Source organism: Homo sapiens, chromosome 17 (genome assembly GCF_000001405.40).
Source record: "Homo sapiens chromosome 17, GRCh38.p14 Primary Assembly".
Classification (NCBI taxonomy): domain Eukaryota; kingdom Metazoa; phylum Chordata; class Mammalia; order Primates; family Hominidae; genus Homo; species Homo sapiens.
Genome location: NC_000017.11, coordinates 76,029,050 through 76,054,653, shown reverse-complemented (window position 1 = coordinate 76,054,653; position 25,604 = coordinate 76,029,050). Strand labels below are relative to the sequence as shown.

At 49.3% G+C, this 25,604-nt stretch overlaps 1 protein-coding gene across 4 annotated transcripts in view, besides 5 other annotated features; it reads left to right on the top strand.

The window, feature by feature from the left end:
• The window catches only part of SRP68 (signal recognition particle 68), a 33,733-nt gene extending 17,864 nt beyond the window's left edge, over window positions 1–15,869 (top strand). For 3 of the 4 annotated variants that reach the window (NR_048541.2, NM_001260502.2, NM_014230.4), the window contains 8 exons: window positions 4,128–4,226; window positions 6,684–6,748; window positions 8,460–8,616; window positions 9,268–9,362; window positions 10,696–10,825; window positions 13,676–13,751; window positions 14,180–14,235; window positions 14,721–15,869. Coding sequence is in view for 3 of the 4 variants with exons in the window: in NM_001260502.2 (NP_001247431.1) it covers window positions 4,128–4,226; window positions 6,684–6,748; window positions 8,460–8,616; window positions 9,268–9,362; window positions 10,696–10,825; window positions 13,676–13,751; window positions 14,180–14,235; window positions 14,721–14,948 (906 nt within the window). In the remaining variant the exon portion in view is untranslated. Of the gene's footprint in view, window positions 1–997; window positions 1,206–4,127; window positions 4,227–6,683; window positions 6,749–8,459; window positions 8,617–9,267; window positions 9,363–10,695; window positions 10,826–13,675; window positions 13,752–14,179; window positions 14,236–14,720 lie in introns of those variants that run through there. The other variant, NM_001260503.2, reaches the window with a different exon arrangement.
• Window positions 6,425–6,494: a silencer, noted in NCBI's record as "silent region_9001". NCBI's record gives its function as "represses an Ori minimal core promoter by ATAC-STARR-seq in GM12878 lymphoblastoid cells {active_cell/tissue: GM12878}" and the evidence as "EXISTENCE:reporter gene assay evidence [ECO:0000049][PMID:35858748]".
• Window positions 13,093–13,794: an enhancer, noted in NCBI's record as "H3K27ac-H3K4me1 hESC enhancer chr17:74036941-74037642 (GRCh37/hg19 assembly coordinates)". NCBI's record gives its function as "activates a minimal SCP1, AML or CMV promoter by ChIP-STARR-seq in naive H9 embryonic stem cells {active_cell/tissue: H9 hESC(naive)}" and the evidence as "EXISTENCE:reporter gene assay evidence [ECO:0000049][PMID:30033119]".
• Window positions 13,795–14,496: an enhancer, noted in NCBI's record as "H3K27ac-H3K4me1 hESC enhancer chr17:74036239-74036940 (GRCh37/hg19 assembly coordinates)". NCBI's record gives its function as "activates a minimal SCP1, AML or CMV promoter by ChIP-STARR-seq in naive H9 embryonic stem cells {active_cell/tissue: H9 hESC(naive)}" and the evidence as "EXISTENCE:reporter gene assay evidence [ECO:0000049][PMID:30033119]".
• Window positions 17,652–17,946: a silencer, noted in NCBI's record as "tiled region #345; K562 Repressive non-DNase unmatched - State 18:Pol2". NCBI's record gives its function as "represses a minimal TATA promoter and a strong SV40 promoter by Sharpr-MPRA in K562 cells {active_cell/tissue: K562}" and the evidence as "EXISTENCE:reporter gene assay evidence [ECO:0000049][PMID:27701403]".
• Window positions 20,052–20,659: an enhancer, noted in NCBI's record as "H3K27ac-H3K4me1 hESC enhancer chr17:74030076-74030683 (GRCh37/hg19 assembly coordinates)". NCBI's record gives its function as "activates a minimal SCP1, AML or CMV promoter by ChIP-STARR-seq in primed H9 embryonic stem cells {active_cell/tissue: H9 hESC(primed)}" and the evidence as "EXISTENCE:reporter gene assay evidence [ECO:0000049][PMID:30033119]".

Here is a 25,604-nt window from a genome sequence, read left to right as displayed (position 1 = left end):
TCTCGAACTCCTGACTTCAGGCAATCCACCCGCCTCGGCCTCCCAAAGTGCTGGGATTACAGGCGTGAGCCACAGCGCCCAGCTCAGGCTTGGTGATTCTTATCCTCAAGTTATGGTTAATATTTTAATATTTGAGTGGAAGAGGGACCATTTATCTTTTTCTTAAAAAACAATGTATATTTATATATATTCATGTATATTCTCAAGTGAGATTTGTTTCCTTCTTTACCAGATTTCCATGTATTTTTTTCCTAAACCTCACTGGGCTGGGTAAGGTTTGATTCTTGTCCCCATAGTAGGGGTGTGGTTGGGAATGTGGTCAGACTTGCCTTGTGTGTCTCTTAGTCATACTACCACCTTCCAGCAATTTCCATAGACAAGTGAAAACAATCTGAGAATGTGCTTTTTAAAGCGGGAGGTCTGTACCTCAGGACACACTGCAGCTCGCTTTCCTCCGCACCAGTCAGTTTTGAAACTGAGCCTGACGAGAGAACCTGAGACTGCAGAAAAGCCCATCCTGAAGGTTTCAAGTTTTGTAAAAGCTGACCTAGGATTGATTGATTCATTTGGACTAATCAGTAACATATTACTTCTGGGCTTAAGATTTCTCACTGTCATAGGCACACCTGGGAAAAGGTCTAGTCAGACCACCAATTTTTGTGCAGGGAGTTTTGCCACTTATGTTTAAGAGCACGTTCTGGTTGGTCCAGTGGCTGGCGGAGAAGGTCGGTGTACAGGTGGCCAGGAATCCTGCCTCTGCGTGTTGAGAGGAGTTTCTTATTCCACTGTCCTTTCAGGAATCATCTTAGCCTTGAATATAGATTTATAGAATAAAAGTGTAAATAGCAAAATATATTGAAGGCTTCCTGTTTGGAGACATTTTGCCCTGCCCAGGGAGAATCATGAGAGCTTCTCCTTCAGAGATTAGTGGTCTGAGTCATTGCAGTGTGGGCGTCGTAAGAAAAACACAACTGACTTAAGTCCCGCCCTTCAAATCGACTTTTTCCTTCATTGCTTTTTAGGATGTTTGTAAAATTCCCAGTGGGAACTTAGAGCTTTGTGGGAGCAGTGGGGAGGTTTTTTGGTTTCAGCACCTTGATGCAGAGGCTTAGTTAAAGGGAGCAGAGGTGATACGTGGCAGTCAAGAGGTTTTAAACTTGAACTGTACCCTACCGACAGGAAAAGAGGCAAATCCTGTGTAGCTGGTAAGACGAAGTTCGCTCTTTTCTTGAACGCCGGTTGCTCCAACCACTTAACCCCACTTGTCTGAGAAGGGTGTTGGCATGTTTGTTGGATTGCATGGAATTAAAACGGGCGCCGTAGCTCTTCCTTTCTGCTGAGAATGTGGCTGTGGTATATGTGTGTTTCTTTTTTTTTTTTTTTTTTTTGAGACAGGGTCTCACCCTGTCACCCAGGCCAAAGTGCAGTGGCACAATCTCAGCTCACTGCAACCTCCACCTCCTGGTCTCAGTTGGTCCTCCCACCTTTGCCTCCTGGAATAGCTGGGACCACAGGCATGCACCACCACACCTGGCTAATTTTTTTTGCATTTTTTGTAGACATGGGGTTTTGTCATGTTGCCCAGGCTGGTCTCAAACTCCTGGACTCAAGTGATCTGCCCACATCTGCCTCCCAAAGTGCTGGGATTACAGGCGTGAGCCACCGCGTCCGACGCCATGTGTGTTTCTTAAGTAGTGGTGCCAAGTCCATTCACATGTCTTTTTTTTTTTTTTTTTAAGTTCTGGGATACATGTGCAGAACATGCAGGTTTGTTATATAGGTATATATGTGCCATGGTGGTTTGCTGCACCTATCAACTCATCATCTAGGGATTTTTTTTTTTTTTTTTTGAGATGGAGTCTGGCTCTGTCGCCCAGGCTGGAGTGCAGTGGCGCGATCTCGGCTCACTGAAACCTCCGCCTCCCGGGTTCACGCCATTCTCCTGCCTCAGCCTCCCTAGTAGCTGGGACTACAGGTGCCCACCACCATGCCCAGCTAATTTTTTGTATTTTTAGTAGAGACGGGGTTTCATCGTGTTAGCCAGGATGGTCTCGATCTCCTGAGCTCGTGATCCGCCCGCCTCAGCCTCCCAAAGTGCTGGGATTACAGGCGTGAGCCACCGCGCCCAGCCCATCATCTAGGTTTTAAGCCCTGTGTGCATTAGGTATTTGTCCTAATACTTTCCCTCCCCTTGCCTCCCACCCCCTGCCATTCACATGTCTTACTCGAGTTTTTAAGCACTCTAGACTTATGTATCTTATTCCAGTTGCTGAGTATTATATGGCGGCACCATTCCACAGATTTGTACTTTGAAAAATTAGGCCAGTAAGGTTGACGAAGTGATTCTAAAGAATCTTGCCAACCTGGGGTCGGCCAACAATATTCTATAAAGCATGTGCTCCAGTGCTGCACTGTCCAGTGCAGTAGCCGCTCAACACATGTGGTTATTGAAATTTAAATTAATAAAACTTCCAGCCAGGCTCTGTGGCTCCTGCCTGTAACCCCAGCACTTTGGGAGGCCAAGACAGGTGGATCACCTGAGGTCAGGAGTTCGAGACCAGCCTGGCCAACATGGTGAAATAGCCAGGCGTGGTGGCGGGCACCTGTAGTCCCAGCTACTCCGGAGGCTGAGGCAGGAGAATCTCATGAACCCAGGAGGCGGTGGTTACAGTGAGACGAGATCACGGCACTATACTCCAGCCTGGGTAGCAGAGCAAGACTCTGTCTCAAAAACATAAAATAATAAAAAGATAGATAAATTAATAAAACTTCCGAGTGCTCAGGTGTTCATTGGACGGTGCACGTAGAGGACATTGCCCGTGGCAGAGAGTTCTATTGGATGGTGCTGCTCTGGTGGTTCCAGGAGTGAATGGTGGCCGTGTTTGCTTTACTAGATTTATAGCATGAATGAGCCCCAGTTCGTTCCCAAGTTAGTGAACAACAGGAAAGTCAAGTAACTTATAAGTGGAAAAGTATGTTTGATTTGTATTGGGTAAGTTACAAGGAAGATTTTTTTTTTCACACTGGAGACTAAGAAAAGAGAAGAAATAGATTCTTAAGAGAACTTTTAAGAAAAGCTTTCTTAAGAGAAGAAAAAGGGTTTTTCTTTAAGCCCCTGTTCCCCCAACCATCTCTTAAAGGGGTGGGCAGCACTGGGTTTTCGTTTGAGCTTTCTTAGAGGTCAGTTGAATATTAACACATTTTTTCAGATTGAGTGTTAATTTCTATGGGAAGTCAAATACCATAATGGAATGTTGATGTTTTAATTTCACAGTGGGTCTGCCAGTCACACAGGTTCATCCCCTTTCTGCCTTTTGTCCATTTCTATCTGCTCGGTCAGATTCTTTGGGACGATAATGTGGCTTGGCAGGTATTCAGTTAGTGAATCACTTTCTCACTTACCCTAGCTGTGTAGCAGACAGGTGACACCCAGTACTTGTGCAAAGACTGTCGTCTCATGCGTGTCAACCTTGTATGTCCTAAAAATTGTTCTCAGAGTAGTCATGTGGAATATCTGAGTGCAGCACGTCTGTGGCGAAAAGAACTTAGTGTGATATTTAGGAGAACTGTCTTTTTGGTGGGTATTGATTAGTCTTTTTTATTATTTCCTTGTACCTAAAAGAAACAATCTTTGAGTTGGGTCACATTTGTAAAAGGTAATTGTGTTGGCATACAGTAGAGCTTGACAAGTTTGTTCTGGAAGGAAAAGATAAGGAAAGTTCTGGTGTGCTGTGCTTCAGTGTAGAGTGTCCCAAGTCCAGTCTGTAAGGCCCCTCAAGGGGTGCCAGGTCCTGAGCAGAGGGTGAAGCGCTGCAGGGAAGTAGCAGGAAGCTGTGCTGGGAAGAGACGTAAAGCCTTTGCTAAGTCTCAGATCAGTTATGCAGACAGCTTTTTCAGCATGTTTGCTTTTAAAAATAGAACTCCCCTTTCCATATGAATAATGAATGACTAAGGCTATGAGAAACCATTATATGGTAGAGAACAGTAACAATTAAAATGATATCTGGTGTGGCGTGCGTGAGTGAGTGTGTGGTTGGGGGACTCCATGTGCGATTTTGCTCCTCTCCCATTAGGTGACTATGGTTTGCTCAAAGGAAAGTCTCTTACTTTGATCTGCCCTTGTTTAGGCTGAAAGCGAAGAAACTAAGGAGCGCCTGTTTGAATCAATGCTCAGCGAGTGTCGGGACGCCATCCAGGTGGTTCGGGAGGAGCTCAAGCCAGATCAGGTAGGACCCTCAGCCGAGCCCTGGTTCTTGCTCTGGGCGGGTCCAGGTCAGCCTGTGTCCCCTTCTCAGGTGGACCCCAGTGCTCTGAGTGCACTGCTCGCTTGGCCACTGTTTCGTTTTTGTTTTTTTGAGGTGAGGTCGTAAGGGAGCAAACAAGGGCCTCTGGGCTCCATCACATTGAGAAATTAATTTCTCCCTCCCCTGTTCCTCCTAATGGTTTCCTATATGGCCTGTGAAGCCTGTGGCCTCCAATTCTGTCTCCAGGTGGACTTCTCCAGTGCCTCCCTTTTCTGAAAACACTATCCCTGTGGTTGATTCAGGCATCTAGGCTGAAAACCTCAGATCTATTTGTCTCTTTTGTCCCTGTCACCAAACCCACCTTCTTCTCCCTTTGCAGGGCCTCTTGCCTATTGTTGCTTCACCTGTTTCTATTAGCCTTTTCTCGTGTGCCTAGGCAACCGCAAAGGTCTCCTAATTGCTTCTTCTGGCTTGGTCTCGGTTCCCTTCTCCAGGCCTTTCTTTCGCAAAGTACAAATGGAATCTTTCTAAATCTAGTTTCCCTGTCTAATTTTAAAAAGCCCAGTGATTTCCTCTAGGGATTGAGCAATGGCCTCCAAACTTTTATGCTGATAAACCCCATAGGCAGCATTGAGCCTGCACCACTGATGCATTTATTTATGAATTATATAGCTTATTATTTGACTAATTTGTCATATATAAACTGCATTAAAATAAGGGCTTTTTTGAATGAGATAAATAGAAATAGAAATTCTAATTTTCGTTTCATACCCAGACTCCCTGGGTTTTATGCGCCCTACTTAGAGACCACTGGCCTCTCAGTTCAGACTTGAGCTGGTGTACAAGCCTTCCTTAGTCTGTTCCCAGCCTTGTACTTCACTGCATCCTTCTGAGTCCTCTGCCTCAAGCTGTTCCACTTACTGGCATCTCAGTAATGCCTTTCCCACCCCGTGTGTTACACTGTTCTCATTCCCCTCCCTCCGCACACTTGGGTAATCTTTCCTGCCCCTCTTCACCTGTCCAAACCCCATCTGTTTTTCAAGGTCCAGCTCATAGCTTACCATTTCTGAAAAGCATATGCCTGCACCATCCTAGCCCACAGAGATCTCTGCAGTTTCTAAATATCTGATACTTGCAGCTATAAGCTTTGATAGTTAATTAAGTATTACCTCTTCATAAAAACTTTATTGTGGTAAAAAACGTTAAACATAAAACCTTAACCATTTTTAAGTGTATGGTTCAGTGGTAATTAAATGCATTCATAACGTACAACCATCACCAACAGTCCATCTCCAGAACTCTCTGCATTTTGTAAAACTGAAACGCTGAACCCATTAAACAACAATAACTTCGTTGCCTAGCAACTATTTTTTTTTCAGCATCTGCCACAAAGCCTTGAGTATAAACTTTGTTTTGAATCACTGCTTTCTCTAAGGAGTCACCTGCTTCCTTGCCCCGTTAGGCTGCCTTTATGTATTGTGCTTCCCTTCATCGACTTAACAGAGGTGCCTACAGAGTCCCAGCCCCTGTCACTGTCATTCACCTTGAATGCATAGCAGTTGGGAGACACCTCACAGAATGTAAGGAATGTGATGCCGCAAAGGCGCATTCATTTCCTGTTGCTGCGATCATATTAACCACAAACTTGATGGTTTAAGATGATCCAAATGTATTATCTTACGCTTCTCGAGGTCAGAAATCTAGTGGGTTCACAGGGCTGTGTTCCTTTAGAAACCCTAGGGGAATCCTTTTCCAGTATTCCCAAGAATGCATCTCCTGGCTTCTAGCGGCTGCCTGTAGTCCTTGGCTTGTGGCTCTCCGTTTGTGCTTCAAAGCGATCAGCTCCTCTCCCCTCTGCTTCCGTTCCTTCATCTTCTGCATCTCTGACCCATCTGCCTCCCTCTTCTCAGGACCCTGGGATGACATTGGACCCACCCAGATAATTCAGAGATCCCTAATTTAATCACATCTGTAGAGTCTCTTTTACCATATATGGTAACATCTTCCCAGATTGCACGGAGGCTAGCATATAGACAGCTCTGGCGTATGTTATTCGGCCAGCCACAAAAGGCACACTCTGACAGCACAAGGGGTGGAACTGGGATCTGTGGCACAGACCTTCACACAGAGCCGTGGACTGTGGAATGTCTGATTTTAATGCTTTGGGGTTAGGCACGGGGAGGAGTGGACAGGAAGTCTCATCTGGCCGTTACTCTCAGTTCTCTTATTTGAGGTCAATTTTTAGATGCCAGTGGCAACTTGAGTGCCACTGTCATTCTAGATTATGTCAAGTATAGATCTTTGATATTTGAGGACTCCTGTCTTACTAGAGTTTGTGTCTATGTTCAGGGCACTTTGGAGACCCCACCATTCCATGAGGTGGTCAGAGCGATGGAGAGCATCAGTTGCTTTACTTTTTACCTTTTTCACTTTCTGCAGAAACAGAGAGATTATATCCTTGAAGGAGAGCCAGGGAAGGTGTCTAATCTTCAATACTTGCATAGGTAAGGGTTATTTTAATTTTTTTACTTTTTAATATTATTAAAATATTTGAACAAAAGAGTATATGTAATATTTATGTATATTTACATTTATAATTTCTTTTCTTTGTTTTTTTTTTTGAGACAGGATCTAGCTCTGTCACTCAGGCTGGAGTGCAGTGATGTGATCTCAGCTCACTGCAGCCTCAATGGCCTGGGCTCAATCAATCCTCTAACCTCAGCCTCCCACTGAGTAGCTGGGACTACAGGCATGCACCACTACATCCAGCTAATTTTTGTATTTGTTTTGTAGAGATGGGATTTTGCCATGTTACCTGGGCTGGTCTCAAACTCCTGGACTCAAGCAATCTGCCCATCTCAGCCTCCCACAGTGCGGGGATTATAGGCGTGAACCACTGCACCTGGCTTACATTTATAATTTCTTAATGCATACAAATGCTAATGCATGTATGTCCATTTTATCAAATAAGTATATATGCTACATTTACATTTTATTTTAATATGCCTAATTTAAGATTTTTATATAGCTTAACTAGAACACAGCCAGGCATGGTGGCTCACGCCTGTAATCCCAATACTTTGGGAGGCTGAGGCAAATGGATTGCTTGAGCCCAAGAGTTTGAATTAGCTGGGTGTGATGGTGCACACCTGTGGTCTCAGATACTCCAGAGGCTCAGGTGGGAGGATCCCCTGAGCCCAGGGAGGTCAAGGCTGCGGTCAGCCATGATCATGGTCATGTCACTGCATTCCAGCCTGAGACAGCCCTGACTCAAGATTCTCAAAACAAAAACGAGAACACAACCAGTGTTTGAAGCTCCCTGCGGCCCTTGCCTCATTTCCTTCCACTCCTAGAGCTAACTGCAACCTTTGCCTCCCGGGCTCAGGTGATCCTCCCACCTCAGCCTCCTGAGTAGCTGGGACCAGAGGCATGAGCCACCATGCCTGGCCTGTTTATTTATTTATTTAGAGAGATGGAGTCTCGCTCTGTCGCCCAGGCTGGAGTGCAGTGGCGCAATCTTGGCTCACTGCAAGCTCCGCCTCCCAGGTTCACACCATTTTCCTACCTCAGCCTCCCAAGTAGCTGGGACTACAGGTGCCCACCACCATGCCCAGCTAATTTTTTGTATTTTTAATAGAGACGGGGTTTCACTGTGTTAGCCAGGATGGTCTCAATCTCCTGACCTCATGATCCGCCCGCCTCGGCCTCCTACAGTGCTGGGATTACAGATGGGAGCCACTGCCCCTGGCCCCCCGTTTTTTTTGTTTTGTTGTTGTTGTTGTTTTCAATTTTTAGAGTCAAGGTTTTGCTCTATTACTCGGGCTGGAGTGCAGTGGTGTGATCGTAGCTCACTGCTGCCTTGAATACCCAGGCTCAGGTGATCTCCTGCCTCGTGAGTTGCTGGGATCCCACTCTCTGTTTTTTGTTTTTTTTTTTTTTTTTTTCCACTGTGTGGTTCTTGAAAAAGGATGCAGAAGGTATAAATCAAGCTAAAAATCAAATTTTGTGATAAGATCTCATGCGGGTCCCCTGCAAACTTGCCACTGGATAGTAGCCAAATGGAGGGTCCCTTGAAGCCCAAGCCAAATGGCCCTGCTGTGGCCACGCCCCCACCCGCCCCCTGCTTCCTCTGGGTCAGCCCCAACTTGTAGTCCAGTCCTCCCAGTTCCTCCGCTTCTCTGAGTATAACTTGAGCTGACTTGTGGTGCATTCCAGCTACCTGACTTACATCAAGCTATCAACGGCAATCAAGCGTAATGAGAACATGGCCAAAGGTCTGCAGAGGGCTCTGCTGCAGCAGCAGCCAGAGGATGACAGCAAGCGCTCACCCCGGCCCCAGGACCTGATCCGACTCTATGACATCATCTTACAGGTGACCCTTGAGGACCGGGAAGGCAAGGGCCTGTGGTTTTCCTTTGCCTGTGTCGGACACAAAGTGACTTAACTTTGTATCACGGAAGGGCTGTGACAAGCAGGACCTATTAGTAGCTGGGAAGAGACAAAGATCTTACACCAGTTCTGCAGTCTGTGAGCCCCTACCTCTCAGACATGCTGATCTGCAGAGAATAGTGACCCCAGATCATCACTGAGCACTTGACCTGTGTAAGACGCTCCCAGGTGCCATAGAGCATCTGAGACCTGAGTCCATGCCATCTCGGCCCCCAGGGAGTTTGTCAGTCAGTAGGACTGTGAGACACACACAGTCAAGGCATCTGAGTAGATGCTAAGCAAAATAAAAGCTCAGCGCTGGAACAGATCCCTTCCAGCTAAGATGGGCCAAGAAGTCTCTGAAGGTGGGTGAGCTGAGTTGAGTTGTAAAGGGCAAATATGTTTCCAAGATCAGAGGGGAGTGGAGGTGACAGCAGGTGTGGCTGCTGCCCAATCTCTTCACAGGCTTTTCCCCATCGTATTGACCTCGGGCTTTTTTTTTTCCTCACTCTTGTCCGTTCTTACAAGGTCTTCTGTCAAAAATTCAACCTAAGATCTACTCTTCATGAATTTTCTTGTTGCATCTGTTGTACAGAATCTGGTGGAATTGCTCCAGCTTCCTGGTTTAGAGGAAGACAAAGCCTTCCAGAAAGAGATAGGCCTCAAGACTCTGGTGTTCAAAGCTTACAGGTAACGTCCCATGGGATGGGCAGTTTTCCTCCGCCTCCCAGGTTCTATAAGCATTGGGAGCATGACCCAGCCCACAGCAGATGGGACCGTTGGCCTTGAGTGTATGGTTACCTTGCCTGTGATCAGAGGAAGGTCAGCCCAGCATGTTCAAGGGGAGTTTCTAAAGGCTGTGGTCAGTAGTGGCCAGTGATGATGTCTGCCTTTTGGCCAGGTCGGAGGAGTGGAGCACACACGTTAAACTTGGCTTCCTCGCTGGGCGCGGTGGCTCACACTTGTCATCCCAGAACTTTGGGAGGCTGAGGCAGGTGGATCACCTGAGGTCGGGAGTTCGAGACCAGCCTGACCAACATGGAGAAACTCCGTCTCTATTAAAAATACAAAATTAGCCAGGCATGGTGGTGCATGCCTGTAAACCCAGCTCCTTGGGAGCCTGAGGCAGGAGAATCGCTTGAACCCGGGAGGCTCACCGCAACTTGGCGGTGAGCCAAGATCGCACCATTGCACTCCAGCCTGGGAGACAAGAGCGAAACTCCATCTCAAAAAAAACAAAAACACTTGTCTTCCTGTACTTTCCTCCTCCCTTCCAGGGGAAAAGGGGCACGCCTTGAAAGGGTGTTAATTAGCAGAACCAGTGTGGCCAGTTCAAGGAACTTGAACTGACTTGGGATAAAGCTAAACTCAGTTTCTTAAATGACTTGTGTCATTTGTAACTTGGAAGTGGGCTGGGTAGCACGATGGGGCCCAGCCAGGATGGAAGGCAGAGCCCCATGCATTCTTGCCCTTCCTCTTGTGGCCCTCACATGCCAGTGTGCTCTGGTGCTCCAGCATGCCCCGTCTTCACTCCATGGCCCCTTCTGTCCTGTCAGGGACCAGCAGCGCTCAGGCTCTGCTGAGCCCAGGAGAGGAATTTGACTCAGGAAGAACCTTCTGTGAGTTTTGTTTTTGGAAAGCGATGAGCAGAGATGAATGATTGCGACTTGGGTGTGTGGATGGGTTTGGGATTTCTATTTGAGCCGGGCAGCGTTCTTCCTTCCTTCCTGTCCCCAGCCTCACCATGCTCCTTTTGGGAACTGTTCCTCCTCTGCAGAGTCAGCCAGTCAGTAAAAAACCGTGGCTCAGTGTTGGGCCTACCTGGGCATCTCTGATTGCTGGGAAGCATCTCTGCAGGGTAGCCTACAAATCTGAACACTTCCCATGAAGGGGGCTCCCATGCGGTGATCCCACGTTAAGAAACCTGTTTCCAAATGTGAAATTTCGCCTAAACTGCAAGGAAAGCCTTGGTCTTGGGTAATTGCTGCTTTAGAATATTGTGGCTCTTTTCCCTCCCCATCAGGTGTTTTTTCATTGCTCAGTCCTATGTGCTGGTGAAGAAGTGGAGCGAAGCCCTTGTCCTGTATGACAGAGTCCTGAAATATGCAAATGAAGTAAATTCTGATGCTGGCGCCTTCAAGAACAGCCTAAAGGTGAGAGGTTGGCCTCTCCTTGTTTGCAAGCCCTGGCAGGTTATGGAGTCAGCTGTGGAGGAGCTGTGAGGGTACAACAGCTGGGCGCCACCTCAGGCTGGTCCTCCCTGGCTGCCCGTGGGACCTGGTGTAGCCCTGACTGCCCAGGAGCTGCAGGCTGTGTCACTCATGGCTGTGCTCCAGGCCTGAGGAGGATTTAGGTATGAAGAAGGGAAGGCATTTTTCTGATTTAAAAGAAACAAAAACCACCACAGGAAAACCTGAAGTACTGCTCTCAGACTTGACTGCACGTTGAAATCTCTTAGGAAGATTTTTTTCAAGGTAGATGTCTGGGTCGCACCCCCAGAGATTGTGGTTCTAATCAGTGTGAGGGATCTGAAGTGGGCATTGGGACTTAGAAAGGCCCCTTAGTGATTCTGACATGCAACCAAGTGAGAAGCACTGGTGAAGCTGTCCTGCAGGGCATGCGCAAGACCAGCAGCAGCGGCGGGGCCTCACTAGGAATGCAGCCTCTCAGCTCCCACCCGGAACCTTCTGCTTGTTTTCTTTCTTTCTGTCTTTCTTGAGACAGGGTCTCGCTCTGTCACCCAGGCTGGAATGCAAGTAGCACCATCATAGTTCACTGCAGCCTCGAACTCCTGGGCTCAAGTGACCCTCCCACCTCAGCCTCCTGAGTAGCTGGGACTACAGGCATGAGCCACCATACCAGGCCAATTTTTATTTTTTTGTAGAGATGGGGGTCTCACTATGTTGCCCAGGCTGGCCTTGAACTCATGGCCTCGAACTCCTGGCCTCAAGCAGTCCTCCTGCCTCTGCCTCCCAAAACCTTGAGATTGGAGGCATGAGCCACCATGCTGGCCAATATCTGCATTTTAACAAGATCCCCAGGCCATTTGGGGGTCTGTTAAAGCTAAGGAAATGCTTGATCTAAAGTACAGCCACAGGGCTGGATGCAGTGGCTCATGCCTGTAATCCCAGCAGTTTGGGAAGCTGAGGTGGGCAGATCACTTGAGGTAAGGAGTTCGAGACCAGCCTGGGCAACATGGCGAAACTCTGTCTCTACAAAAATAGAAAAAAATAGCCAGGTGTGGTGGTGCACACCTGTAATCCCAGCTACTTGAGAAGCTGAGGCAGGAGAATCACTTGAATCTGGGAGGCAGAGGTTGCAGTGAGCCAAGATCAAGCCACTGCACTCCAGCCTGAGTGACAGAGCAAGACTCCATCTCAAAATAAATAAATAAAGTGCAGCCATGGAAGGCTTTCTTTGCTTTACTTTTTTTTTTTTTTTTTTTTAAGATGGAGTCTCTGTCTCCTAGGCTAGAGTGCAGTGGCACGATCTCGGCTTGTGCCACCAAGCCCAGCTAATTTTTGTATTTTTAGTAGAGGGTTTCACCATGTTGGCCAGGCTGGTTTCAAACTCCTGACTTCAAGTGATCAAGCCTCTTGATCCGCTGACCTCAGCCTCCCAAAGTGCTAGGATTACAGGCGTGAGCCACTACTCCCGGTGCTTTACTGATTATTGAACGATAACTAGCTTCTTAAGCTTGTGGCGTGCTGTGATGGTATAGAACTTGTTGCAACATCAGCTGGTCTAAGGAATCCATGTATATTTGACAAGTAGAGACCATTTAGAAAAGCAAGCAGGGGCCGGGCACCGTGGCTCACGCCTGTAATCCCAGCACTGTGGGAGGCCGAGGCGGGCAGATCACGAGGTCAGGAGATCGAGACCATCCTGGCCAACATAGTGAAACCCCACCTCTACTAAAAATACAAAAAAATTAGCCGGGCATGGTGGCAGGCGCCTGTGGTCCCAGCTACTCGGGAGGCTGAGGCAGGAGAATGGCGTGAACGCGGGAGGCGGAGCTTGCAGTGAGCCAAGATCACGCCCCTGGGCGGCAACAGAGTGAGACTCCGTCTCAAAAAAAGAAAAAAAAAAGCAAGCAAAGGTTCCTGTCGTTGATGGAGTCACGCCAGCCAGTGTAGGAGCTGCTGGATCCCGTGCAAGCTCAGAGGGGTAGAGAAGAAGCTCTCTGCCTTCAGAGAGCTTGTAGTTTTGTTGTAGCCACAGACTGGCATGCAGGAGCCCACCTATGGATGCAGAAGAAATAAAAGAGACCCCAAGCAAAGGCAGAGCTAGAAAACAGCACAGGGATGTGGGCAGGTGGGAGTGACAGGCATGGCAGCGTCACCACCATGGAATATCATCTTGGGACGCGGGGCAAACCAGTGTGGACCTGATTTCATGTGCTGAATTGTTTTGTGGGGGAAGTGTCAGAATGGAGGCATGAAGGATTCTGTGGCATCCAGACCTTCTCAGGTCATTCCCAATATGCCAAGCAAGAGACCGAGGCCAGGAAAATTCATCACCCTCGTTGAAGCAGTGGGATGTAACGACTAAGGGCTTATGCCCTTGAGCCAGATGGCCCAGCCCTTTACCCCAGCCCGCTGCCACTTGGGCGCATGGCTGGCACATTGCTTAACCTCTCCATGCTTCCATTTTCTCATCTGTAAAATGGGAGTGCAAACTGCCTCAGGATTATTGAGAAGGTTAAGCTAGTGATTATGTAACCTGCTTAGAACAATGCCTGGCACACTGTTTAGTGTATGATAAATTTATTAATATTAACATCATCTTTATTTCCAGGCATTATTACTTAAGCCGTGGCATAGCTTTTCCCATTTGAAACAGGCTAGTGTTTTGCTTTGTTTTGTTTTGTTCTAATAGTGAGAACCGTTTAGAAAGTCTAAAGTCCTGTGAAAATACCAGTGGGGTCGGTTAACTCGGGTTAGCTTGGTGTGCTTCTCTGACCTGGCCCTGGCTCGGGAGTACACGTTTTCTGAATCTTACAGGACCTGCCTGATGTGCAAGAGCTCATCACTCAAGTGCGGTCAGAGAAGTGCTCCCTGCAGGCCGCAGCCATCCTTGGTGAGCCCCCTGCCTGGCCTTTGTATCCCCAGACTTCCCTTCCTGCCACTCCCCTTCTCTGTCACACCCCATACTACTGTTTTAAGGTTGAAAGGGTTGTCTTGGTTCATCTGTAAGATGTTCCTGGCCTTTACTTGTGCCAGCTGGGCATCAGATTGTGTAGAAGCATTTCGAGTGCACTGTTACACTGGCCCTTCTCCCTGTTACTGTCCTCATGCAACTGTGCTGGCTTCACTGGGCCGACGGCATTGGATCTGGGATTGATCTGTTTATCTCCACCACTTCTCAGCAGGAGACAGGCCTGGCTTCCCCACATGCTGGCTCCTTTTGCTTTTGGGATGTAGGGGCCACCTGTGTGATAGGCCTCATTTGTGATTAGTGTGCTATTATAAATCCTTGTTCTTACTGAATCCCTGTGAAACTTTCAGATGCAAACGACGCTCATCAAACAGAGACCTCCTCCTCCCAAGTCAAGGACAATAAGGTAAGTCTGGGCCATGGTTTTTGAGGAATACGAAGCAGGATTAGTAACAAACTAGGAATGCATGCTCATTATAGAGCAGTGGACCCTAAATTTCTAAGGAAACCCCCCACCTCCCTCCCTTCTCTTACCCAACCTCAAAGCTTCTTGCATAAAGCTTCCTAGATGTCAGATCATCCCTGGGAAGAGGGTTGAGGAACCTGTTGCTGTAAAGAGTAGCACCCGTGGGTAAGAGCTCTAACTCGTAACATGGCCAACAGGCCTGCACCCCAGTCCTAGCCTGCCACTCTCTTAGCCTCTCTGGGTTTCAGTGACTTTGACTACAAGGCAGGGATGTGGTAGCCCCTCCTCGTAGGAGGCTGTCGGGATTGAGTGATTGAGTGAGATGGCCCCTGTAAAGCTCTGAACCAGGCAGTCGGCACTCAGGAATGTTCACCAAGGGTGTTCTGTGACCGATGCTACATACGTCTCTTTGATTTGACTTCCAGCCTCTGGTTGAACGGTTTGAGACATTCTGCCTGGACCCTTCCCTTGTCACCAAGCAAGCCAACCTTGTGCACTTCCCACCAGGCTTCCAGCCCATTCCCTGCAAGCCTTTGTTCTTTGACCTGGCCCTCAACCATGTGGCTTTCCCACCCCTTGAGGACAAGTTGGAACAGAAGACCAAGAGTGGCCTCACTGGATACATCAAGGGCATCTTTGGATTCAGGAGCTAACCAGGCTCTTCCTCGGGGGCGGGGGAGATTCTGACTCTTAATCTGTATTGTGAGAAAATCCCAGCAAGTTCCATGATATTAAATCCAGGTCTGCATTGGCCCGGGGCAAGAGTTTAACATCTTCGGCCCTGCATTCCTACATCTTGTGTCTGTACACGTTCTTAAGCAGCGTGTCAGGAGAGCACCCTGTTGTCTTCTGGTAAATGTGTGCAGGGTCATCCTGTCTCCTGTACCTCCTGGGAAAGGGGCCGCTGCTGTCTGGTGCCCTGTGAGCTGTGATTGATTGCCTTTGGTCAGTAATGCGTTCAGGAGTCCACACCAGGCACAGATGGGGCCTTGAAACGCTTTGTCATGCTTCTTCAGTACCATGGATTTGAAATGAACTCATCCTTGCTGTGAGCATCCAGGAGCCCTTGAGAAGTTTATCTATGACTATGAAACTGGCAACGTCACCCCAGAATTACGGTCAGCCTTATTCCCCTTCACCTCCCAGTGAACGCTAAGAAGTTTCAGACAAGCAGAGAGCTCTATTTTTAGAAGAAATATGTTACACTCAGAAATGATGAAACCAAATCTTATATTAAAAGGCAAAGATGACGGAGACTGTGCCCATTTCTTATATGCCCTCCCTCATGTCCAGTCCCCGTTCTCTCCTCGGGAGCCTAGTTGCGTGAAGCCGGTGAGGTCAAGTGTAACCTGACTTACCGGCAACTAGGTGAGGCTGATGCCAGATACACATGTTAGAGGCACTATTTTTCAGGACTTCCCAATGTGTAATTTTTAGATGCCATTATATTTTAATCCCCTTCGTTACCCCCCGTTTTTCCTTAGTCATCCCTTTTCACTTCTATTATAACATCAATAATAGAAGTCACAAAAACAATGTAAGAAAGCAAGGAATAAAAGTGATTTAAACATGTACCTGACACTTAACGATTCCCTTTGGAAATCAAAACTCATCTGTCACATAGGAAAGAAAATTCGTCACAAGAAATGTTGGCTTAGATGTTTTCCGTTTTTGAGCAAACCCAGTGGCTTGAAGAAAAGGCTGACTGGTTAAAAATCCAAGAGCATTGTTTCAGGATGGCATTGTAACCCCCCGAGGGTTCTTGCCCGCTGCCCAGATGGAGTTGATTCATGGAAACAGGAATTGCAATAGAGAGTTTAGTTCACACACAGCCGTCTAAACAGGAGACTGGAGTTTATTACTCACATTGGTCTCCCTGAAAATTCAGAGACTGGGAATTTTAAGGATAATTTGGTGGGTAGGGGGTCAGGAAATGGGGAGTGCTGATTGGTCAGGTTGGAGATGAAGTCATAGGGAGTTGGAGATGAAGTCAGGGAGTTGGAGATGAAGTCATAGGGAGTTGAAGCTGGCCTCTTGTGCTGAGTCGGTTTCCTGGGTGGGGGCTACAAGACCAGATGAGCCAGTTTGGATGGATGGTGCCAGCTGATCCATAAAGTGCAGGGTCTGAAAAATATCTCGAGCACCATTCTTAGGTTTTACAACAGTGATGTCATCCCTAGGAGCAACTGGGAAGGTTCAGAATCTTGGGCCTCTGGCTGCATGACTCCTAAACCATAATTTCAATTTTTGTGGCTAATTCGTTAGTCCTACAAAGGCAGTCTGGGCCCCAGGCAAGAAGGGGGTTTATTTCCGGAAAGTGCTGTTACCATCTTTGTTTCAAAGTTAAACAGTAAACTGTAAGCTTCTCCCAAAGTGAGTTCGGCTTATTCCCAGGAATGAACAAGGACAGCTTGGAGGTTAGAAGCAAGATGGAGTGGGTTAGGCTAGACCTTTTTCACTCTAATAATCTCACCGTTAGAATTTTTGTAAAGGTGGTTTTAGAATGCCACTGTGGGCTTGGCTGTGCCTTTTGTTTTCCCAGTAAGTTGCAGGGAGGGAAGGCTATAAGAGCTAGAAAGGATGGTGAGACACAAATCAGGCTTCTTGTTAGAATTGTGTTGTGGCTTAGAACCTTGAGATGCTCGCAGAGAGGCCCTGATCCCCCGGGGTTTGTTTTGGGTTGGAGAGCCTCAGGAAGCTGGGGTTTTTTTTTTTAATTGAAAGTTTCATCATCTATGCCATATAAATTTAGGACTATCCTCACCCCTTCTGAAAATATAGCACAGATAGGCTGGACACAGTGGCTTACGCCTGTAATCCCAGCACTTTGAGAGGCCAAGGCAGGCAGATCACTTGAGGCCAGAAGTTCGAGACCAGCCTGGGCAACATGGTGAGACCTTGTCTCTACCAAAAAAACTTTTTTAAAAGAAAAATATATATAGCACAGATGACTGGTCTCAGGTTGAGGTCCTGGGTTTTGATCAGGTCAGCGTCCCTGCGGGCTGAGGAACCACGATTTGGGGGTTAGGGGGTCTTCATCCATGTCCTCATCCTCCTCCCAGGGCCATGGGCCAAGATTCTGCACCTCCCTTGTCTCGTCTCTGTGCTGACAGCCACGCTGTCCTCCAGCTCCAAGAACCCAATTGCAGGCCCTGCTGTGCTGCAGTCTCAGGCCGTTGCCTGCAGCATCGTGAGGGGGACGGGCATGGGGAACCGCTCATCCTCCTGGAAGATGTCCCTTTGTCCTTCCCACAGCCCTCCCAGCCCCTCCCACTCTAGAGTGCTGGCCTCAGTGGGGACCCAGGACCTATAAACTAGAGATGGAGGCGAATCCCAACTGCACCTTTTCCTTCTCAGGTTGCCTAATGCTTTGTCTCGCGGCCACACTACAAATTCCATTCCTCCCGGTGCTCCTGCCAGGCGCTCTGAGCAGCATTGGCTGTTAACGGCCAGTGATGCTGTTTAGTATTAAAAGCAGGTGTTTACATAAGAAGACAGATCTGGCAGGGCCAAGGTCTCCGGCGAGCTTGCACATCCCTTCACATGGGATTCCTGGACATTAAGCAGGCTGTGTCGTGGGGGACAGAGCGCCAGATGCAGGACCCCCTCCTGTCCTCAGGCCCTGGGAAGTGGCTCTGCCTCTGATGGGAGCAGGTTTCAAGTCAGGCCCTCACTGCCCCTGGGCCCTGCAGGCTGTTCGCTGGGGGTTTTCACAAAAAGACACTTCGGAGGCCACACAGTCCTGCCTTCCCACGGGGCAGGACATGCAGATGAGGCCCCGGGGGCCGCGAATGGGTCTGTTCCAAGTGGGTGTTCCCGTGTTGTGCTGGCTCCAGTCCCTCCTCCAGGATGGACTCTGGTGCTGTCAGCAAGCTCTGACCCTGGAGGAGGCTTCTGTCTCCAACATCAAGAGAGGACGAAGAGAGCTCCATTCAGTCCCCTTATACTTTTATTTATTTATTTATTTAGAGACAGTCTCACTCTTGTCACCCAGGCTGGAGTGCAGTGGCACGATCTCAGCTCACTGCAGCCTCCGCCTCCCAGGTTCAAGCGATTCTCCTGCCTCAATCTCCCAAGTAGCTGGGACTACAGGTGCGTGCCATCATGCCCAGCTAATATTTGTATTTTTAGTAGAGGCGGAGTTTCACCGTGTTGGGCAGGCTGGTCTCGAACTCCTGGCCTCAAGTGATCCACCTGCCTCGACCTCCCAAAGTGCTGGGATTACAGGCATGAGTCACCACGCCTGGCCCGGTCTCATACTTTTAAAGCCTGCCCTAGGTCTGCTGTGGATGTGGTCGTGGTCGTGGTTTCTGTCCTTTTTTTTTTTTTTTTTTTTTTTTTTTGAGATGGAGTCTCGCTCTGTCGCCTAGGCTGGAGTGCAGTGGTGTAATCTCGGCTCACTCCACCTCCCAGGTTCAAGCAATTCTCCTGCCTCAGCCTCCCGAGTAGCTGGGATTACAGGTGGCCACCACCACGCCCAGCTAATTTTTGTATTTTTAGTAGAGATGGGGATTTCACCATTTTGGCCAGGTTGGTCTCAAACTCCTGACCTCATGATCTACCCGCCTCAGCCTCCCAAAGTGCTGGGATTACAGGCATGAGCCACCGCACCTGGGCTTTTCTTTTTTTGAGATGGAGTCTGACACTGTCGCCCGGGCTGGAGAGCAGTGGTGTGATCTTGGCTGACTGCAACCTCCGCCTCCCATTCAAGCGATTCTCCTGCCTCAGCCTTCCGAGTAGCTGGGATTACAGACATGCGCCACCACGCCTAGCTAATTTTTTGTATTTTTAGTAGAGATGGGGTTTTACTCTATTGGCCAGGTTGGTCTCAAATGCCTGACCTCGTGATCCACCCGCCTCAGCCTCCCAAGGTGCTGGGATTACAGGCGTCAGCCACCACGCCTGGCCTATGTGATCATAGTTTCTATTCTCTGTTCCAGGCAAGCCCCACCAGGCCTGCTGGGTGAGGGTCAGGAGCACGAGGTGGCTGAGGATGGCACTGGCCTTTGCTGCTGGGTCTCCTGGCCTGTTCCTCTCTTCCCGAATGTTGTTTGGATTTGCTGTCTCCTCTCTGGTTTTACATTAAATCAGTGAGAACTCTTGGATTCCCTCTTTGAAATGAAACGGTGCTGGGCTTGGTTCCGACCCCTTCCCCTGGTGGCAACCTGAGCCTGTCACCACAAGCACAAGGTGACAGCCTGTGATGACAGGCCATCCTCAACCCATAGCGGCTCTGGGCCAGAGCCAGGACTTTCCTCCCAAAAGCTGAGGCAGAGGCTTCACCCCCTCTAGGAGAGGAAGGCCAACGCCAGGGGCTTTGAGGGTGGGACTGTGCTCTGTTCACTGTCATCGCTGTGGCAGCGCTAATTTTTCACATACGAGGTGTCGTTAGTCACACACAAAAAAGCCAACTGATCACAGAATTCTAAACAGCACAATTCTGTCTGCAGCCTTGAAAAGCCTGGGACATTTAGAGGTCTAGGAAAATATCCAAAGATAGCAAAAATATGTGTTGGTTCTAATTTTTTGTTTGAAGACAGTTGTTGCTACAGAGGAGATGGAAAGCAGATTTAGCTGTAAAATTTATCGATGTTCCAAAGCAAAGAGAATAAATTGGAAATTGCCTGCATCCTGACAACACCAACTGGAAGAATCCAACCTGTTATTCTGTTAGATGTTAGAGACACTTGGGAGGAGGACCTGGGAGGGGCTGTGGCTGGGGGCACCGCCCAGGGCCAGCTGGGGTGGCAGGCTGTGCGGGTTGCACACAGTAGATAGGCCCTGGCCTCTGGGTCCACCCTCTGCTCTGAGCACCATCTGGCACAGAGTGAGGGGCTCTACAAGCATCCAGTAGAAGTATTATTATTATTATTATTCCAAGATGAGGTTTCACTCTTGTTGCCCACACTGGAGTGCAATGGCACGATCTCAGCTTACTGCAACCTCTGCCTCCCGGGTTCAAGTGATTCTCCTGCCTCAGCCTCCTGAGTAGCTGGGATTACAGGCATGTGCCACCATGCTCAGCTAATTTTTGTATTTTTAGTAGAGACGAGGTTTCACCAAGTTGGATAGGCTGGTCTCGAACTCCTGACCTCAGGTGATCCGCAGCTTCGGCCCCCCAAAGTGCTTCCCCAGGGATCTTCTGACCTAGCAATCCAGCTATGACGGGCAGGTACCTGGGCCAGTGAAAGCTGAGTAACGTTAGCTGCGGCTCATCTGTGGAATGGAGACAGACGTGGCTGTGCAAAGGCCTCACCAGGCAGTGCCTCCCATGCTGCCTAAGAAGAGGTGTGAGGCAGAGAGAGCAGGTGCCCAGGGTCCTCCGAGCTCCTGGATCCCTGCCCCACACTGACTAGTCCATTGCCTCTGAGCACACTCCAGCTCCTGTACAACAGGGGCGGCTGCGTCTCAAAGTTGCTGGGAGGAGACAGTGAGGAGGTTCCCCCAAAATGTTCTGAGCCCAGACCCCAAGACAGTGTGGGCTGCTGTACCCTGAGTCGATGGGTACACATAGCTGAGAGAGCCTTCCACTCAGCCAGCCTGCGTCCTTGTCTTCCCCTTCCCAGGAAGTCCTCCTAAGTCTATGCAATGCCATTCAGACAATAGTTTGGGTCTGACTAGCTGCTGTCTGTGCTGGGTGGTTTAACCTCCCCTTTCCAGCTTCCTGACAATAGAGACAAATCAGGCAGCTATGAGAACTTCTTGTTCCTTCGTTTTCATGTTTGTCTGTTTTATAAACCTTTTTCTCCCTCTGAACAGTGAACAGTGCCAGATGCCACCAGACCCCTGCTGCTGTGGTGCAGCCGGTGGGACATTTTCTCAAGCGGCAACGCAGGTCATTATCTTGGCATGGACAGTTAGCTGGCTGCCTCCGTCACATCCGCACTTCTCCAAAATAGGGCTGCAGGTCCCCGGACCTAGCTAGTAAGGACAGCTATTATCTTAAAGGTGGCAGAGAGGCCCAGAGCCCTTGGGCCTACCAGTTCCTGAGTAAGACTGGCTGGGCTGCAGACTTCTGGAATGCAGGGATGGCTCATGCACGAGATGGCTGCAGGGGCTGGGGAGTGGGCTGCACCAGCATCAGTCCTACAGCTGAACTGGGGCTGGTGCTGTGGGTCCCCTTTCTCCCAGGGAAAGGGGATGGTTCAGAGGGAGGGACAGATACCCTAAGGCAGCCTTGGTTTTGAGGATTCCAGGGGTTCCCTCTATGTTCTCTTTCTTGCCATTTAGTATGAGGAATCCTGCCTGCTCTCTTAACACACACAAGATTTGGTTGTTTTCTGTTTTTTGGAGTTTTGGTAGTTGCTTCCTCTAAACCTTCCCCGTAAAAGTCCCAAAAGGAATCACTAGCACCTGTTCCTCCCCACTCTTGTCTGGTTAGGCAAGCTGTACCACCTTTTGCTTCTCTCTAGGCTGACCTTGGCATTTCAGTTCTTTTTATCGGACTTGCCAGGCAGACTCACAGCCAAAAGAGCCTCCTCCTGGTGGCCCTGCAGATTCCTGGGCCACAGCCTCTACCCGCCAATCCTATACCTGTAGACAACGGAAGGAGGCTGGTCCCTTGAACCCCCAGTCCGCCAGACTGTGCTCCTCTAGGCCCAGCTGGAGGAGGGTGCCTCTGCTTTGCTCAGTGGGCGAAGGGAGTGAAGGGAAGAGGTCATTACTCAACTTCGGTCCAAGGGTCTGGCAGCGGAGCTTTTGTACAAACAGGGCAATTTCCTGAGACGGCAAAGCCTCGCCTCATCAGGAACACATGGGCGCCTGGTAGCTTACGGCTCCCGGGACAAAGGAGGCAATTACCACCATCTGCCTCAGCAGGGAGAAGAATGCCTCCCCACAGGAGCCCGGAGCTGGAGGAGAGAGTGGGCACCAGAGGGCTTAACTGCTGGCACACATGCCAAGTGGCCACCCTGTGGCCGGGCTGCACATATGCCCAGCTGTGTCTGGCAGTCTTGGAGCCGAGAGTCTCACTGTTCTTGGTCTGATCAAGCCTCTTGCTCAGGTCCCAGGCCAGGTGAGCTGCCAGCTGCCCACATCAGCGTGGCGCTCCAGGCGCAAGGAGTGAGTAAGCTGCCGCGCAAAGTCATGGCTGGCAGAGGGTTGAGCAGCCCCAGGGATCGTTTCATCTCTAACCTCTCAATCCACCAAGGAGCAAGCCAGGGCCAGGTGAGAGGAAGGACTCACCAGGCCCTTCAAGGTGGGGAGATGCTATCTTTGCATGCATGCCTTTAAAAAAATTTTTTTTTGGTTTTTTTTTTTTTTTGAGCCGGAGTCTCGCTCCGTCACCCAGGCTGGAGTGCAGTGATGCGATCTCGGTTCACTGCAACTTCCACCTCCCAGGTTCAAGCGATTCTCCTGCCTCAGCCTCCTGAGTAGCTGGGATTACAGGTGTGCGCCACCACGCCCAGCTAATTTTTGTGTTTTTAGTAGAGATGAGGTTTCACCATATTGGTCAGGATGGTCTCGAACTCTTGACCTCGTGATCCACCCACCTTGGCCTCCCAAAGTGCTGGGATTATAAGCATGAGCCACCATGCCTGGCCAAAAAACATTTTTTTTTTTTTTTGGAGATGGAGTCTCACTTCTGTCATCCAGGCTGGAGTGCAGTGACTCAATCTCGGCTCACTGCAACCTCCCTCCACCTCCTGGGTTCATGCCATTCTCCTGCCTCAGCCTCCCGAGTAGCTGGGACCACAGGCACCCGCCACGATGCCTGGCTAATTTTTTTGTTTTTGTAGTTTTAGTAGAGACGGGATTTTGGTTTTTTTTTGAGACGAAGTCTCACTCTGTCACCCACGTCACCCAGGATGGAATGTAGTGGCGCAATTTTGACTCACCTCCACCTACTGGGTTCAAGCAATTCTACTGCCTCAGCCTCCCAGGTAGCTGGGATTACAGGCACCCACCACAACGCCTGGCTAATTTTTGTATTTTTAGTAGAAATGGGGTTTCACCATGTTGGCCAGGCTGGTCTCGAACTCCTGACTTCAAGTGATCCGCCCTCCTCGGCCTCCCAAAGTGCTGGGATTACAAGCGTGAGCCACTGCCCGGCCAAAAAAAAAAAAAAAAAAATATATATATATATATATATATATATATATATTTTTTTTTTTTTTTTTTTTTTTGAGGTGGAGTTTCGCTCTTGTGCAATGGCGCGATCTCGGCTCACCGCAACCTCCACCTCCTGGGTTCAAGCAATTCTCCTGCCTCAGCCTCACAAGTAGCTGGGATTACAGGCATGTGCCACCACGCCCATGCCTGGTTTTGTTATTTTGTATTTTTAGTAGAGACGGGGTTTCTCCATGTTGGTCAGGCTGGTCTCAAACTCCTGACCTCAGGTGATCTGCCCGCCTTGGCCTCCCAAAGTGCTGGGATTACAGGCATGAGCCACCCCACCTCGCCAAAAGAAAGTTTTTTTTAACTGCAAGCAAAGAGACATGGCAGAAGCCAGGGCTTAGGAGGGTTGAAGGTTGGGGCATCCTATCTAACTTCCAGGCCAGAGCTGTCTGAAGGAATCCTGATGAGCCCCAAATGCAAGCTTCATTTGTCACTTTAAATTTATCAGTAGCCACATTTTAAAGAGTAAAAAGCAACAGGTCAAAATTTAAAATATGCCTGTAACCCCGGATCATGAGGTCAGGAGTTCGAGATCAGCCTGACCAACATGGTGAAACCTCATCTCTACTAAAAATACAAAAATTAGCCGGGTGTGGTGGCGCGCGCCTGTAGTCCCAGCTACTCGGGAGGCTGAAGTAGGAGAATCACTTGAACCTGGGAGGTGGAGGTTGCAGTGGGCCGAGATTGTGCCACTGCACTCCAGCCTGGGCGACAGAGCAAGACTCTGTCTCAAAAAGAAAAAAACTAAAACTAAAAATACATTTCATTTAATTCAACATATCCAAAATATTTCAATATGTAATCAATAGAAAAATTAATGAGATGCTTTACATTCTTTTTTTCTTTTTTTTTTTTTTTTTTTAGATCGAGTTTCGCTCTGTCTCCTATGCTGGAGTGCAGTGGCGCGATCTCGGCTCACTGCAATCTCCGCCTCCAAGATTCAAGTGATTCTTCTGCCTCAGCCTCCCGAGTAGCTGGGATTACAGGCACGCGCCACTACGCCCAGCTAATTTTTGTATTTTTAGTAGAGACGAGGTTTCACCATGTTGGTCAGGCTGGTCTTGAACTCCTGACCTCGTGATCCGCCCACCTTGGCCCCCCAAAGTGCTGGGATTACAGGCATGAGCCACCGCAGCTGGTCGTTTTACATTCTTTTTCCATAGTACGTCTTTGAAATCTGGTGTGAATTTTGCACATATAACACATCTCACTTCGGTCCGGGCACCTTCAAATGCGCTACAGCCACACACAGCAGGAGTTGTGGTTGCAGAAACGGACGCTGAGGGTCTTGACCCAGGCAGTCAGCCCCATCTTGACCTTTTAGATAAAGGGCTCCTTTCTCTCCAAAGGGTGAGGCCAGAGGTGAAGCACAAAGACAGCCATGCCTCACTCTGTGTCCCTGTCCTTTCTCCTGTTTTCTTCTGGGGCCAGGGTTGCTGCCATCTGACAGGAGCATCCCACGTGAGAGGACGCCTCAGGACTCAGGGTGTTCCTGCCTGCCGCCTGGCAGCCCTTATCAGAGGAGCGGGGCCTGATTTGATCCAGCATGAGAAGATCACGCCAGGAAGTCAGCTCTTGTTTTTCTTGCAGTAAATCAGTTAGCCCTTAATCTCCGGGGCGTGTGAGGGCCCCCTGCAGTGCTCATTTCCTTCCTGGAGGGCTTCTGAAGAGGGGAGGAAGCTCGAGTGTTCCAGACCTCAGACTCGCTGCCCTCCGCCCAGGGCACCTCCCCCTGCACAGCTCAGGGGCCTCACCCGGCTGCTCTCTGTCTGGAGTCTGGACACCTCTCCCCAGGGCCCCACTTCCAATGACTGCCACCTCCCAGGGAGGGGCCAAGCTCAAAGGTGAAGCAGGCGGGCTCAGTGGCTGATGCCTGTAATCCCAGCACTTTGGGAGGCTGAGGTGGGCGAATCACCTGAGGTCAGGAGTTCGAGACCAGCCTGGCCAACGTGGTGAAACCCTGTCTCTACTAAAAATACAAAAAATTAGTCGCGCGTGGTGGCGGGCGCCTGTAATCCCAGCTACTCGGGAGGCTGAGACAGGAGAATCACTTGAACCTGGGAGGCAGGGGTTGCAGTGAGCCGAGATGGCGCCACTGCACTCCAGCCTGGGAGACAGAGCGAGACTCAGTCTCAAAAAAAAAAGAAAGAAAAGAAAAAGGCGAGTCAGGGAGGCCAGGGGTGAGGCTGGCG